Source organism: Homo sapiens, chromosome 17 (genome assembly GCF_000001405.40).
Source record: "Homo sapiens chromosome 17, GRCh38.p14 Primary Assembly".
Classification (NCBI taxonomy): Eukaryota; Metazoa; Chordata; class Mammalia; order Primates; family Hominidae; genus Homo; species Homo sapiens.
Window position 1 is genome coordinate 49,596,722 of NC_000017.11, and position 15,660 is coordinate 49,612,381.

The 15,660-nt window shown below is 41.7% G+C and overlaps 1 protein-coding gene across 10 annotated transcripts in view, besides 1 other annotated feature; it reads right to left on the reverse strand.

The window, feature by feature from the left end:
• Window positions 2,163-15,660, reverse strand: part of SPOP (speckle type BTB/POZ protein) — a 79,280-nt gene continuing 65,782 nt past the window's right edge. For all 10 annotated transcript variants that reach the window (NM_001007229.1, NM_001007227.1, NM_001007230.1 and 7 more), the window contains 5 exons: window positions 14,559-14,736; window positions 11,153-11,208; window positions 10,529-10,651; window positions 5,144-5,286; window positions 2,163-3,801 (listed from right to left, as the gene is read on the reverse strand). In NM_001007229.1, coding sequence (NP_001007230.1) covers window positions 3,657-3,801; window positions 5,144-5,286; window positions 10,529-10,651; window positions 11,153-11,208; window positions 14,559-14,736 — 645 coding nt within the window. In that variant the 3' untranslated portion in view covers window positions 2,163-3,656. The remainder of the gene's footprint in view (window positions 3,802-5,143; window positions 5,287-10,528; window positions 10,652-11,152; window positions 11,209-14,558; window positions 14,737-15,660) is intronic.
• Window positions 9,677-9,874: a silencer, noted in NCBI's record as "fragment chr17:47683760-47683957 (GRCh37/hg19 assembly coordinates)". NCBI's record gives its function as "represses an EF-1alpha promoter that drives an FKBP-Casp9 reporter gene in an ReSE screen in K562 erythroleukemia cells {active_cell/tissue: K562}" and the evidence as "EXISTENCE:reporter gene assay evidence [ECO:0000049][PMID:32094911]".

A 15,660-nucleotide genomic window follows, 5' to 3' on the forward strand; every position in this document is an offset into this window, starting at 1 on the left:
CTGAAATTAAAAGAAGGAAAACGCATTCACCTTGTGCATACACGTACATAAAGAGCAGCCCAACGATACTCACCTGAATGTTAGATTAGTCAGCAAGCCATTAGAAATGAATCTAAATGATGTAGGGCAGAGTTCAGTGACAAGTCAAGAGATAAAGGAAACATACAGGGCTCAGGCTGATTAAAAAGATAATTAGTTGTGGAAAATAAGGTTGGGCTCCAGCCCAGAATTTGTCTTTGACAAAGATAAACCAAAGGCTTTGATACAGTCATTTTGGGGGGATTTAGTTGTTCTTTTATAGGAGTTGAAGAGCAAGAACAAAGCAACAGTCAGTTTCAAAGTGCAGCTCAACTCCCCCTCTGTTTGTTGTTCTGCTCATAAACATACAAGCTGTTTCCTTTCATCTGCACAGGCTCATACAATATGGAGATCCCACAATAGATTTACACCAGATTTAAAGATGAATGTGCAGAGCTGTGGTCAAGCCAGGGATCTTCCGGCCTAAGAAAGATCTCAATGTGCCTGGCTGGAATTAAAAAAAATACAAGAGAAAGCTCTTCAAGACCTAAAAGGCTTTAACAGTGAAAAAGAAAAGAGGAGCATCTCTTACCCAAATTGTTAAAACCCACAAAGGTGTTTGAGATGCCTAGTAACAATGCAAAGAGCTTTAATCTTTACATAGGGAATGGGGAAAATTTTCCATAGGTGGTCGGATATATGGGGTAAGCTGACAACACAGGGGAAGGGGAGATGGGGATGATGCCAGATATTCTATGTGGAACTGAAACTGCAACTCCAATGGTTCTGCGAAACTACTTGCCCGAAATACTGTTTTGATAAATAAGCCATATCCTCGTGGAATTGAAATCTCCAACTGCTTCACTGGCACGGACATCTCTGCAGTGACAGCTCATGCCCCAGATTGTGGAGTTAACTTGAATTAAATTTCAGATGTGGGGGAGCTAAGGGAGGGGGGTGGTGGCAGTGGGAGGTTTATGAACAGTATGCTGGGGCTCTGATGTTGTCATAACCAGATGGCTTCAACTGTATCATTTAAAACAAAAACAAACATGTCCAGAAAGAATGAAATAATGACAGAAGCATCCAGTAGCTTTACCTGTACCTGAAATCCCAACAGCTTTGTACCCACAGTAAAGCCCAAGTTGGAAATTCCATAAATATTGAAGATCCCAGAAGAGACCTTCATCCTGACAGAAGCTAGGTGCCAGGACTGCTGTCCTCCTGAGGGCATAGTCCCTGAACTCACCAGCATCCCAACCCACAGCTGTCTGTGAATGAAGAGGAAAGCAAATCTGAAGCCTGGTTTGTCCTTCTGGAACCTCTGAAGAACAGGCCAGCAGAGGCACCTTTCCAGAGCTTTGTTCTTGCTATTCCCACAGGAAGGAAGCTTTACTTTCAGTTTTGTACCTAAACATTTCAGAAATGGAACTTCCTCCAGTTAATTACGTAATCTTCAGGATACTCCATTAGAAGATCTGGCATTCAATAGTTGTATGATCTGAGGCATGTCCCTTCTCTGGGTTTCTGCTTCCCTCATCTACACAGTGGGAAGATGCCATATCTCACCTGTCCCACCAAGTTCGTCAAGTTGTTGGGAAGTTCAGATGAAATACTGTATATAAATTTAGCTGGAAAAACCTAAGACGATATGGGTAGAGGAGACTTTGAGTTCGCCCGGATTCTTGGACTTGTGTGCTGATCTGGAAAGCTAGGATGGAGGAGGCACAGGACAGCAGCCAGCAGCCAGCAGCCAGCACATGCAGAACTGGGTACTTCCTCACACAGGGGACGCTTCCCAGGGGAAACCGGGAATTGCAATGGAGTGGTTTCCAATAAACTAATCCTGCCTTTGATTATGTTAGTAACAGATCATATTTATCCATTCTAGAGGCAGTAAGATAAATGAAAAGTCGGAAAATGTACAAAGTCTAAGGTCCACTGAAGGGAAATAGAAGGAGAAATAGGTTGAGGTTCCATCAAAGGTAAAAAATACACAGGCTGGCCAAATAGCTGATGCATTCTTCAATATATCCCACTGTCCTAACAGAGCCACAAAAAAGGCAGACAGGGAGCCCCAGAACATTCTTGTGAGCTCCAGTATTAGCTTTTCTGGAAACACATCAAGTCAATGACAGAACCAGTTAGAGACAATAATTTCCCTTTATTTAATCTCCACATTTATGTCCCCTGGATCTTTTTATATTTAGTTAGAAGAAGGGAGGTGGGGATTAGGTCTTAAAACATACGGGGGGCAGTTTAAAAGCCCACTACCATTACTTGCCTTGGCAGAGGTAGGGGCCTGATCCCTCATCAGGATATGGACTGTGAGATACTCAGGGAGGACAAGAGACTGGCAGATGCTGATAGCTCACAAAGAGAACTTGAGATTACGGAGTCTCAACAAATCCCTGCGACTCATTAGGCATTTCAGACATAATCTCTGCAAGCTGAAAACTAGGACTTCAAAATCCCTTAAGCAAGGGACTCAGACCCAAGAGACAAGGCAGGTGAGTGAAACAAAAGACCAGAGATACCACACAGTACAAAATAGTAATTATTTATATTTTCAAAAAAAAAAAAATTAACATTTGGAAGTTCTCCCCTGGAGGAAGAGGGGCTAGTCAGAAGGAACAGAACTGGCTCCTATGCAGGCGGCAAGTCAGGTACAAACAGCTGAGCAATCTGGGCTGGGATTTTATCACACAGCATTTTTAATTGATAAAATTTCCTTCTCTCTTCTTTTGTTCTGTTTTTGTTTTGTGTGTTTTTTTTTTTGTTTGTTTTTTAGAAAAAGGGGTGGGGGAGAAGAAATAAAATCAGAGAAAAATGCCCAAAAACATTTTCCACAATATCTAAAAACAGAGAACCATAGTTCTTGTCAAGACAATATGAATTCTGGATGAGTTATTTTTTCCAGTTTTCAACACCAATAAAGATTTTTGCAAAAGCCACCACATCAGAACACTCATCTTCCAGATCAAATAACCTTCCCCTTTTGCCTTCACTTGTCATTTTTCATAAAAGGATAAAAGGATGTATTCTGTTCTTGCAAACAATAAGTGCTAACAACAAGAGAGCTCTTCTGATGCTTGTATGGTGGTAAGGAGTTTTCACAAATATCCAAGTTTTAGCACAGTTAGAAGGACTAAAATTTGTTTCTCTCAATATAAATACTACTGGAATCCACAAACTGATTTTTGAGAAATTCTGCAAAAATCTTTTCTTCTTTCCTTTTCCCTTCTGTTAAAACTCAATGTCCTTTCTTTTTTTTTTTTCCTTTTTGCTCCAGGCACCTGACGATTTGTTCTGCTCAGTCAGATGCAGACAGGTGTCTCCGAAGTACCACCGCTGGGATATCCTCGGGCCAGCGCCTAAACTGAATCCCCACAGTATCAAACTCAGCCAGGCCAAAGGGAACACAGTGACGCAGCAACAGGGTTTTCATTTCATTTTCCCTCCCCCCGTTTCCCCCAAGTTATTTAGTGCTGTTTTAAAAGTCTGGGGCCACAATGCAGTCTCTTCCCCTCACAACAGAGTAAAAGCTCCACAGATTGCGCTGTCTACCTGGTGGTCAGTGGCAGCAACAGTGGCTGCTGCTTCTGGAAATTAAACGGAGTCTTACAACAAGCAGGATCTTAGGATTGCTTCAGGCGTTTGCGTGGGGGTCCCAGAAAAGGGCACTGTGCTGAAGCCAGAGAGCGGTATGCCTCAGCCACCAAGTGGGGATGTGACACCACCATTGACTTCCACCCAGAGGTCTCCAAGACATCCGAAGCATGACTAGGAGAAATGTGGAGAAATGGGTTACCAAAGGGAGTGAGCAAGGGATGAATTCAACAGCCACCTAGATAGCCTAATTTTCCACTGTTAGGTATAAAGGGTGTCAATGCAAGAAACAGAAGAACCCTTAATATGCATAAGAATTTGCTTGTTAGACAATGAGCAGACTGGTGACTTGCCTGTGGCTGTCGTCATCTGAAAACCAAGACTTTGAGCCACTATATTCTCAAAAACAAAAAGCAGAATGTTCCCCAGGCCCCCAACACTGCCTATGTTCCTTATATTCACCGGTGATGCTAGTCATAAAAAGGAGCATGGGCTCCCTCGGCCAGAAGCCCTGAGCTTCTGCCTGGCTTTGCCACTCACCAGCCTTTAACCACAGGGCAGATCAGAGCCTGGGGCCTACTTGATTATCAAAAAAGAGGGGAGGATAACCATACTTCATTCAATGGTTAATATCTCAAAAGCACCAAGCAAGTGTCCAGCACACAGTAAGCACTCAAAGGAACTCACACTGATGGGTCTCTCCCCTCCCTCTTCTGCCTCACTTGATCACTCCTTAGAAAATAATTCTACAACTAGACCTAGAGGATGTTATTTCCTGTCTTTGGGAATTTTCTATGTTGAATATTGTTCACTCATCCACCTGGAATGTCTCAGACCTGTCCTGCCCCAGAACTGCTGTTGTGAGGGCTTTTCTTCTTTGGGTTTTTTCCAGCTTTTGCTCTCTCCATGGGGCAAGGGAGTAGAACATGTCCCACTGAGAAGATGGGTTGTAGTTACAACTCATCTTTCATATTATTATTCTTATTATTTCATATTATTATTATTCCATATTATTATTTCAGAAAGTAGTATTTCCAGGTCATTTGTCACTTAAGATGAAGGAACAGACCTAGTGGAATGAACATTTCTTTCTCAAAACAGTGAAACCAGCTACTGATGATCCCTTCTTTTTTCCTTATTCTACAACCAAACATGAGGTACATTTTACTAACTCATAAACATATGTCTATCCTCCTAGAAATCTACATGTCTTTTATTAAGTCACTCAGTGTGAAGTAAAGATACTATCATTTGGGGCATACAGCTTTTTCAGGCCAGCAAGTTATTTTCATCACTTCGATTCACTATGAGGAAGTAAAACACTTTACTCACCAATAGGATTCAACCCATGAAGTCAATTCCATACGGTCAACTGAAGGAAAAGATGAAAACTCTATTCTTACTGCCAAAAGGTTAATGAAGCTACTTGCCTGCTTTACCCACTAATTCAAAGCCTTTCTCATTTCTTCAGCTATCCAACTATTTTGAAAGAAGAACTTTGAAGATGCCAACTCACTAGTTGATGAAATCCACTGCCTGAGTTTTCAACTGATCTGCACTGTGGAGGTCGGCCAGGATGAGAATTTCTGCAGCGTTCTCCACGGACAGGTTACTGCAGAGGGCATCCTCACACATGACCTTTAAGCGCTCCAGGGCATACTGTAAAACACAAGCACTGCTGTCATCAGAGCAGCAATAGTTCTGGGCTGACCACTACTGAAGCTGTTTTCTTTAGCTGTACCATCATATTAACTAGATACTTGAATAGAACTGCACAGACCATGAAAAGCTACTACTGCAATGATAAAACATAACCATTTCTGAAGGTTAGATGTTTAAGCTTGAAATGTAAACAGCTAAAGTAACTTGGAAAGCTGCCATTAGAGTTCTAAAGTCTACCTATTAGAAAAATGGCAATTACAGGGTAGATCTGCATCCTGAAGTTTACTCTCCTCCTGACTGTGATGAAAGTTGTTCTTAAACCTTCACCACTTACAATTACAGTGAGGCATCAGTCTGCTTCACGTCAACAGGGCAACTCAATGGTCTGCCCTTCTAGGCCCTGCGGTCTGTGGAAACATGATCTGTGGGGAAGGGTGAAAGAATTGGTGTCTACCCTGTGAAATCCCTTATTTACTGCAATCCCCTTAGAGCCAGAAGAGGGTGAAGCACAGTCCTTTTGACTTAAGCACTGTCACTAGCCCAGCAAGATATCCCAACTGGCCCATCAGGTTGTGAAAAGGAGCCCTGTGGTGACTTTTACCAACACCTCTGCCACTAGTTGTTTCTGAATGAGGGTCAACTAAAGGCCTCCTTTTAAATAGAGAAGGATAAATAGAGTCTTATTTTACTGGGGTTGAGGTTAAGCTTCTCAGGGTAAAAGGACAAAGTGGCAGAGAGCCTAAATGCAGTTTCAGTTTAAAAACTTCAGTTTAAAAACTTGTATTTTCTAAGAAAAGGGCATAAATGTTCTTGAAATGGAAAGCCTAGGTTAATGCTGGGCACATCTGATCTACTTGATTGGTTCAGATACAGCTCTACCACTTGTTCTCTAATATGAGATTATGAACTTACTAGGAACTTGAGGGATAGGAAAGAGGAAGGAAATACAAGGAGGCACAAAATAAAATGTCATTGATCAGTTCACAGGAAAACAGTTTGCTTTGAGGCTATGCACAGTCTCCTTATAGGCCCCAGCTTGAAGGCCCCAGAACTCAATGACACAATGCCCCTTCAGGGTGAATCATGGCAATCAAATCAGGACAATTTAATTGTTATGAATTCTGGGTGAGGAGGCATATCTGCTGGCACTGTGATCTCCTGCAGCAAAAAAGAGAGGTTTTATTGGTTTTGGTGCAGCTTTAATTTTTTACATTTGAGTAACTGGAAAACAGTTTCCATGGAAAACAGGAATAACATTAGATAAGCAAGAAATGAAGTTGCCGTTTTTGTTTTAAAAGGCTGAAATGTTCAGTTTTTTATACAGTGCTGCCCAGACGATTCCTCTTATCCTTTCTCAATACATTCTTTTAAAAGGACTTTTACTGTGAATAGCTCTGATCCCTATTGCATAATTAGACAAAAGTAGCCATTCTTGTCCCTTGGGGACAAAGTTTTTTCTTAATTATGCTTCTGAAAAACCTGCCTAATGGCAGTACTTACCCAAGAGATGGAAATTGTGTCTCCCAGGCCTAGCCCAACGAGTTTTGTTGTTTTTGGTCTAATTACACATGTCCCCAGGAGACTGGAAAAGCTTAAGAGAAGCTGTTTCAGCCTCTTGGGTAAATTCTAGATGTTTAGATCATTCCATGAAAGATTTCTTATTCTGTTTTCCTAAAACTCACGAAGAGGTGTAAAGGTAAAAACGTTTTCAAATAGGCTTGAAGCAAAAACTGTCTAGTTGGAAATTCTGAATGGAATTTGAAAATACACCCTTCAATTACTTCTCATTCATAAATTTAAAGCACTGCCGTGATTCAACAGCTTTATCTTTTAAAACCACAAGTTAACACATTGTGCTGAAATGCTATCCTTGAAATGGCAGTTCAGGCTGATCACCATGCCCTGTGTACTTACAGTAGGTTACCAGTAGGTTTTCTGGCTAGGGAGCAAGAATGAAAACTAAGGGACATGGCAGAAGTTTAATCTTGGCTCTGCGGATATACAACTCTGAGCCTTAGTATTTCTGTCTAAAAAGTGGGCCTTGCAATACTTATCCTTATGGAATCTAGAAGATGAGAGGATAAACACATGATGTGTATAAGTACAAGTGACCACTTCCTTAAAAATCAGAGCACAGATCAGGCAGAATCATAATTAACTTTATAAAAGGCAGTTATTGGATTGTGTCTTCTACTTTCCCAGAGCTTGCAGTGAATATTTTCTTACTGTCTCCATTAAAAGCAAGTTTCCCCTGGTCAGAATTGAGGTAGACTGGAAGGGTATGGAATTTTCACATTGCTTCATTGTACTCATAAAGTCTTGAAAAGTGACAAGAAAGATACGGTTATTATTCCAATCTTCTTCATCAGGAGCACTGATGGCATTTACCTGCCCCATCCTCCACATACACTCCAAAAGCTGATCAATAAAGATAAAACCTCCACTATAAACACAGGCACTTTCCTCTGTCCTCAGGCACAAAGGGAGGTAGGAGACTATCCCATGAGCAAACCCTGGAAGGCTCTTGTGTCCTTAGACCAGAGCCCACTTTTCCCTCCAATGGGTATTGCAGCATCACAGCAGGAAAAGGAGGTGCTTTTGGCAGATAACCCTCTTTCTCACAGGGTCTACTGCTGGCAGGATCTACGCCCTTCTCCCATCCTCACGCCAACTCTACTTGTCCGCCAACACAGGAAAAGCTCCCACAGGGTAAACACCAATTCTTTCACCCTTCCCCACAGGTCATGTTTCCACAGACCGCAGGGCCTAGAAGGGCAGACCATTGAGTTCTCTCTCTGATGTACCTAAACAATGAAAGTCCGTTTCCCAATGTGCGTTTTGGGGACCACTAATCTTGCAGGTGATCCTTGAGAAAAAGGATTCCAGGGTTAACTAAATTGGAGAAATGCTGTCTATCATAATTCCTGTTAGAAAATTCACAGTAACATTAATATGCTACATGTTCTGAGAAATCCTGCAGTAAGATAGCAACTATTTGTCTTGGTTAAACTCAGTATTTTTCATAAGACTTTCCCACCAACCTAATATCTGTTGATATTTCACCTTATTTTGGGAATCACTGACCGAATTATTTTAGGTAATCATCATATGTCTTTGATTCTAAGATCTGCATTTTTATTTCCACACTTGAACACTTCTCAAATTGAAATGTGTCATGAAGTACAATTTATTCTACTATTAAGCTATTAATTCTCTCATAATTTTGAAGAAATACTGTTTATTTCAATAACTACTAAGGTAAAAGTTGAAAATGCTAACCAGGACACTAGGTAAAAGATTACGGCCATGCCTCACTATCCTTGGGGGACTGGGTCCAGGGCCCCGCAAATACCAAAATCTGTGAATGCTCAAGTCACTTATATAAATTGACAGTATTGGCCAGCCATGGTGGCTCACACCCATAATTTCAGCACTTTGGGAGGCTGAGGTGGGCGGACCACTTGAGGTCAGGAGTTCGAGAGCAGCCTGGCCAACATGGTGAAACCCTGTCTCTACTACATATACAACAATTAGCTGGGTGTGGTGGTGCATGCCTGTAATCTCAGCTACTCGGGAGGCTGAGGCAGGAGAACTGCTTGAACCTGGGAGGCGGAGGTTGCAGTGAGCCGAGATTGTGCCACTGCACTCCAGCCTGGGCAACAGAATGAGACTCTGTCTCAAAAAGTAAATAAATAGACCAGGTGCAGTGGCTCACACCTGTAATCCCAGCACTTTGGGAGGCAGAGGTGGGCGGATCACTTGAGGTCAGGAGTTTGAGACCAGCCTGACCAACATGGCGAAACCCCATCTCTACTTAAAATACAAAAATTAGCCAGGGATGGTGGCGGGCGCCTGTAATCCCAGCTATTCAGGAGGCTGAGGCAGGAGAATCACTTGAACCTGGGAGGTGGAGGTTGCAGTGAGCCGAGATCGTGCCATTGCACTCCAGCCTGGGTGACAAAAGCAAGACTCCCTTCTCAAAAAAAAAAAAATAAACAAACAAATAAATAGGCAGTATTTCCCTGTATCTTTATGTATATCCTCCTGTATACTTTAAATTAGCCCTATATTATCTATACTAATTAATACAATATAAATGCTATGTAAATAGTTGTTATACTATTTTGGTTTTTTATTTGTATTTTTTTAATTTATTTTTTTGAAACAAGGTCTCGTTCTGTCACCCAGGCTGGAATGCAATGGTGCAATCATGGCTCACTGTGGCCTCAACCTCCTGGGCTCAAGTGATCCTCCCACCTCAGCTTCTCAAGTAGCTGGGACTATGGGCGTGCACCATCACACTTGGCTAAATTTTTTTATTTTTATTTTTGTAGGGATGGAGTCTATGTTGCCCAGGCTGGCCTTGAACTCCTGGGCTCAAGCGATCCTTCCTCCTTGGCCTCCCCAAGTGCTGGGATTATAGGCTGGAGGCACTGCACACCCAGCACCACTGTGCCCAGCCTGTTTTTTCTTGTTTCTTTTTTCTTTTTTTTTTTTTTTTTTTTGGAGACAGAGTCTTGCTCTGTTGCCCAGGCTGGAGTGGCACGATCTCAGCTCACTGCAAACTCTGCCTCCTGGGTTCAAGCGATCCTCTTGCCTCAGCCTCCTGAGTAGCTGGGACTACAAGTGTGCACCATCATGCCTAGCTAATTCTTGTATTTTTTAGTAGAGATGGGGTTTCGCCACGTTGCCCAGGCTGGTCTCAAACTCCTGAGCTCAGGTGATCCACCTGCCTCGGCCTCCGATAAGTGCTGGGATTACAGGCATGAGCCACTGTGCCTGGCCTCTTGTTTCTTTTTTCTCAAATATTTGTGATCTGAGATTGGTTGAGTCCACATGGATACAAAGGGCTGTTTTACTGATAAAGTTTAAATACATTAATAAACTCAAAAACATTTTGTAAATTATAAAGCACAATCCAAATGTTAGTATTATTTGAATCTTTACTATCACTGTGGTTAAATTTGAGATGGAAAAAAGAGGAGAGGTAGAAGTCAAACTTATCCTTCTTTCCCATAGTTAGGTGATCATATAGTTTACTATTCAAAACAGGACACTTTTGAGAATAAAAAGTGTGCTATTAATAATTGTGTTGGAATAATATGTGTAAACCAGGACCGTCTTGGCCAAACCAAGATATATGCTCATTTTACCCACAATGCAACATAGAATCCTGTTCATGAAACACAAGAAGTCACAATAACTCCTAGTCCTGATTATTTTTCTATTCTTATCTTACCTTGTCAGCAGCTGCCAGCAAATCATCAGCCATTTTGTCGAGGTTTGGAGCCTTCCCCGTGTAAATGAAGCACATCATTTCCTTAAAAACTTCAGGCTCCACATCATTGATTTCAACTCGATTCTATGCCAGAAAAACTGAATATGAGAAACATTCCAACAGAACAAAATCCCTAAACTAAACTATTTTCATGATTTTAAGCTCTAGTGAGGAGAGAACTTTGTATCATTTAAAACCTAACATTAATGGAAAATTTCTTTGCCCGGCTTGATTATAATAGCCTTTTCGTCCATCACATGTTCCATCTTTGTTTTCTTAAACATAACAGCAAAACAACTCTTCGATTTTTTCACCTTTCTTTTCCTCAGTTTTCTGAGTAAAAACATATATGTCTAAATACCCTCACCCAAAACTGTGTGGATGATCAGCCTCATTTAATAAGTCAATCTGCTTTACCCATAATACTTCTACACCACTTCTCTCTGCTCTCAGAAGGAGTTTAGGGACTCATACTCCATTTTAGTAAGAAAAAAGTAATTAGGAAAATGAATCTGCAGCTAAAGTGGGAAATCATCTGACTCTAGATACCTGGCTAAACAGACATGTCTTCATCTTGTTACATACCTTTTTGCTCTCCTCCATTTCATGTTCAAACATGGCACTAAAAACCGGAGAACGAGCTACAAAGTCAAAGAGAAACAAGCAGATAAGGCTATCACAGTGAAATCTCTTGGTTGTTGCCAGTCATGAGGGAGAGATCATTTTCTAACCTATCCTACTGCTATAGGAAAGGTCTCTACCTCAATTTACATCAGAATTACAAAATTCCTTTCTTCATATATTATAACAATAAGTAACTAATTATAATACATAAAGGAAAATAAGAAACCACTACTTCCAAAATAACTTATCGGCTCTACTCCAACCATTCACATTTCAAGAAAATTACTTATCTATGTTGGATGATAATGCTATGTTCTCTGTATAGATTTGGGGTTCAAATGGAAGGTCCCTTATGATCAAGCAGGGTGTTCTAATACCTATGTTTTTGTTGGAACTGACACCATACTTTCTGCACCTCCAGGGACTGCACAGGAAGAAGGTCAAGAACTGGGCTCAATGGCATCCACTAACCAGATGAAGCGCATGCTCACCTATGGCAAACTGTCTGTTTTTCTAAGCTATGCATTCCTAACAGAGATGATATTGCCCCAAAGAGGTGGGGGGGGAAAGAAACTTTAGATATTATAATGATTTGTGTCCCTTTAAAGCACAACCCTACCTGATAAAATCTTCTTCCTTAGTATTTTATTTCTCTCATCAGGGAGAATTTAAATTTAGTTTTTCTCCTTAGAGGCAGGGATAATGAAGGTTGGAAGGTTGAGAAACAGTGCTCCAACTCATGCTCATTCTAGTCCAATGAACACCATGAAAAATAATAATCTCAACCACGAAAAGTAATAGAATGGCTAAGAACTCAAATTTGTTCATGTTGTCAAATAAATCAGGGGTTCTGGTGAAAGCTGAGATCCAACGATTACCTAAGAGTGAAAGAATGGACAAAATATATAGTAGAAAGGTTTTGAGCTAACAGAGAACTGGAAATTTTGGCCTATAGTTTATGTCAGAAAGCACTAATTTTAGCTCTGCCATTTTTTTTTTTTTCTTTCTGAGACAAAAGTCTTGCTCTGTTGCCTAGGCTAGAGTGGAGTGCAGTGGCATGATCTTGGCTCATTGCAACGTCTGCCTCCTGAGTTCAAGCAATTCTCCTGCCTCAGCCTCCCAAGTAGCTGGAATTACAGGTACCCACCACCACGCCTGGCTAATTTTTGTATTTTTAGTAGAGATGGGGTTTTACCATGTTGGCCAGGCTGGTGTCGAACTCCTGACCTCAAGTCATCTGCACACCTATGCCTCCCAAAGTGCTGGGATTATAGGCATGAGCCACTGCACCCGGCCTAGCTCTGCCATTTTCTAACCACATATTCTTGGGCAAATCACTTAACCCTCTGAACTTCAGTATTTTAATTTCTACCGAAAGGATATCAATTCTCATTGTTCTTATTTCAGAAGGGTTACAGACCATAGAGAACTAAATAAATATATTTCAGAAATTAAAGACTAAAGGCCCGGTGCTTTTCATAAAGAAGGAAGGGTCCAAAGCAGCCAGGTCTTGAGGGTCCTCGGTAAATAGGCAGCAGCTGATGCAACGGGAATAAATGAAATCACTCAGGGAGAAGAAGTGGAATGAAAACGGAACTGAAGCAGATCCTCAGGGCTCACCAATGTATAAAGGGATTGGTGAGGAAGAAGTAAGGAGACCACACATCAGAAGCAACCAGAGAATCAGGAGAGAGGAGTCCTAGTATATGAACTAAAGTCCTTCAAATTTAGGAACCAGTAGATCATGTAATTTTGAAAAACTGCTTTCATAGCATGGAGGTGAACTGAGGATAAGTGGGAGGAAAGGAAGTAGAAAGTGAATATGCTAACTCAAGAAACTCAGTTCTGGGGAAAAGAGAGAGAGAATAACTAGAGGGAGAAGCTTGGAGCCTGTACAGGCTGAAGGTGAAGAGGCAATAACAGAGAGATAGTGAAGATACTAGATAGATAGCAAGGGTATAACCGGTAGAGTAAGGTTTCTGAGAAGGCAAGATGGGATATAAAACAGAGCAGAGGTAGAAAAAAAGTCTGCTTTGTCCACGAGGAAGAACACCTCCACTGAGAATGCAGGTGAGGTAAGAAGCAAGAGTTGAGGAAGTTCCTACAAAAGGGCCTCCTTTTCTCTTGGAGGAAGTAGGCAAGGTAATCTTTTAGGAGTTTGGAAGGAGTTAAAGAGTGGTTAAGGTTTGAGACAGCTATCGTTAAGAAAGGGAGTTGCCTAAACATCTGTAGAAAAACTATTGGCAGTGTTGAGGGCCTAGCTAAGTGTGGAGACACTAACCAAAGAGTTATAGACTTCCTTGAGTTTTGTTTTTTTTTCCCCCGAGACAGAGTCTTGCTCTGTTGCCCAGGCTGGAGTGCAGTGGCATGATCTCGGCTCACTGCAACCTCCGCCTCCAGGGTTCAAGCGATTCTCCTGTCTCAGCCTCTGGAGCAGCTGGTATTACAGGCGCATGCCACGATGCCCAGCTAATTTTTGTATTTTTAGTAGACATGGGGTTTCACCATGTTGACCAGGCTGGTCTCGAACTCCTGACTTCAGGTGATCCACCCGCCTCAGCCTCCCAAAGTGCTGGGATGACAGGCATGAGCCACCGCGCCCGTGACTTCCTTGAGTATTACACAGTAACAGCCAGTTGTGAGAGGGAACAGGAAAATGTTTAGACTGAGGCAGTCTGAGGTTTTACCAGGTGTGTACTTTAGAATGACGGAGCGGAGGGTCTTAGTAAGAAGTGTGTTACTTGAAGGTTCACACAATTTCCTGTTAGGTCTTATGGTCTTAAGAGAAGTATACGGTGATTGTTACCCTTCCCTGGGCGGTGAAGTCAGTCCTTCCTCATCAGTTCCTCCTTGGTGTCAATCTCCCTGGTCTTGAAAACCATGGGCCTATTAAAGCAAGACCTGATCCTCCATGTCAGGGGCAAGAGTTTCATTCTTCTAGTATGTTTAAATTGAAAAGAGGGCTAACCCCTCCAGGGCTGAGGACTAGCTAGATGGCATTTAGTCCTGAGTATAGAATCCTCTCCATTACATCCTAAACCCTTATCTAGGGGTTGATACCTGCTCTTAACTGGTGCTCTGACATCTACTCTCTAGGGGCAAAGGCATTCAATACCTTTGTACATCATCATCCATGCCTTGAAAATGATGGCCTAGGTCCACTACAGAGAGGAAAAACAGAAATGTCATTTTAGAGAGCAGCTTTTTTGGTTCTGAGCATTGTTACCGGAATACAAAGATATATTTAGCTGCAGTTTGTTTTGTAGTTGAGTTCAAAAAGTTGAAGTTGTTCAAAAGGTGATTATGCAATCACTTGTTTTTCCTTATTTCACCAAAACTATAAAATTCCTCATGAATAAATACCAACCTGCTAAGATAGCCTTGTGAGCCTGGAATTCCTGGCCGGCAACACACAAGCAGCAGTCTGTGAACCGGGAATTCTCCCACAGTCCTCCTAACTCATCTGCCAGCCGGCACTCAGGAACCTTTACCATGTTCATGGTATTCTGGCCAGAAATGTTGACAGAATCTTGCACAACACTCACCTGTGAAAGACAAGGAAACACAAGCCAAGCTTTTGTTACCAGGAATTTTTTTGCCAGCAGATAGACGACTTTTACCTAACTGCTGTAGTACATTCAGATACTAATATTAATCATATTATCTTGAAACCACCTCCACAAATCAAGGCTTTAGCCCCGGATCAAGTAACTCCTTTTCTGTCACAATCAGACTTATTCTATACCATCTCAGGACAATAGGAAGAGAGCCCCACAAATCTCTTTTTCCCCCAGTTTCTAATAAGCTTCACCTCCCTTGGACTACAAACCTGGGCAAAGGTGCCAGAGAGACAAAACTAACAGAAACAAATGTTAAACCTCAAGTATTTACCTTATTCTGCCTTAAGTTCAATACAAAGAACTCCTATAAATACTACCATTTAAATTAAACTCTAGAGACAAGAATCTGATCACTTTTTTTTTTTTTTGAGACAGAGTCTCACTATGTCACCCAGGATGGAGTCCAGTAGCATGATCATGGCTCACTGCAGCGTTGACCTCCCAGGCTCAAGTGATCCTTCTACTCTAGCCTCTGGAGTAGCTGGGACTACAGGCGCATGCCACTACATCTGACTAATTTTTTATTTGTTTACAGAGACAAGGTCTCACTATGTTGCCCAGGATGATGTTGAACTCCTGGGCTCAAAGTGATCCTCCATCCTTGGCCTCCCAAAGTGCTAAGATTATAGGCATGAGCCACTGCACCTCGCCAAATCTAATAACTGAAGCCTAAAAGACGTTATTTTAGTTAGGTCGAGAACATGCACATAAAACGCATCTTCTACAGAGCCTGGTAAATAACTGGCACTTCTTCAAAAATATTAGTTTAATGAACATGACATTATTGACCCACTGTCAGTAAGGACCAGACTTGGAAGATCTTTCTAGTAGTGAAAACTGGGTGAGTAT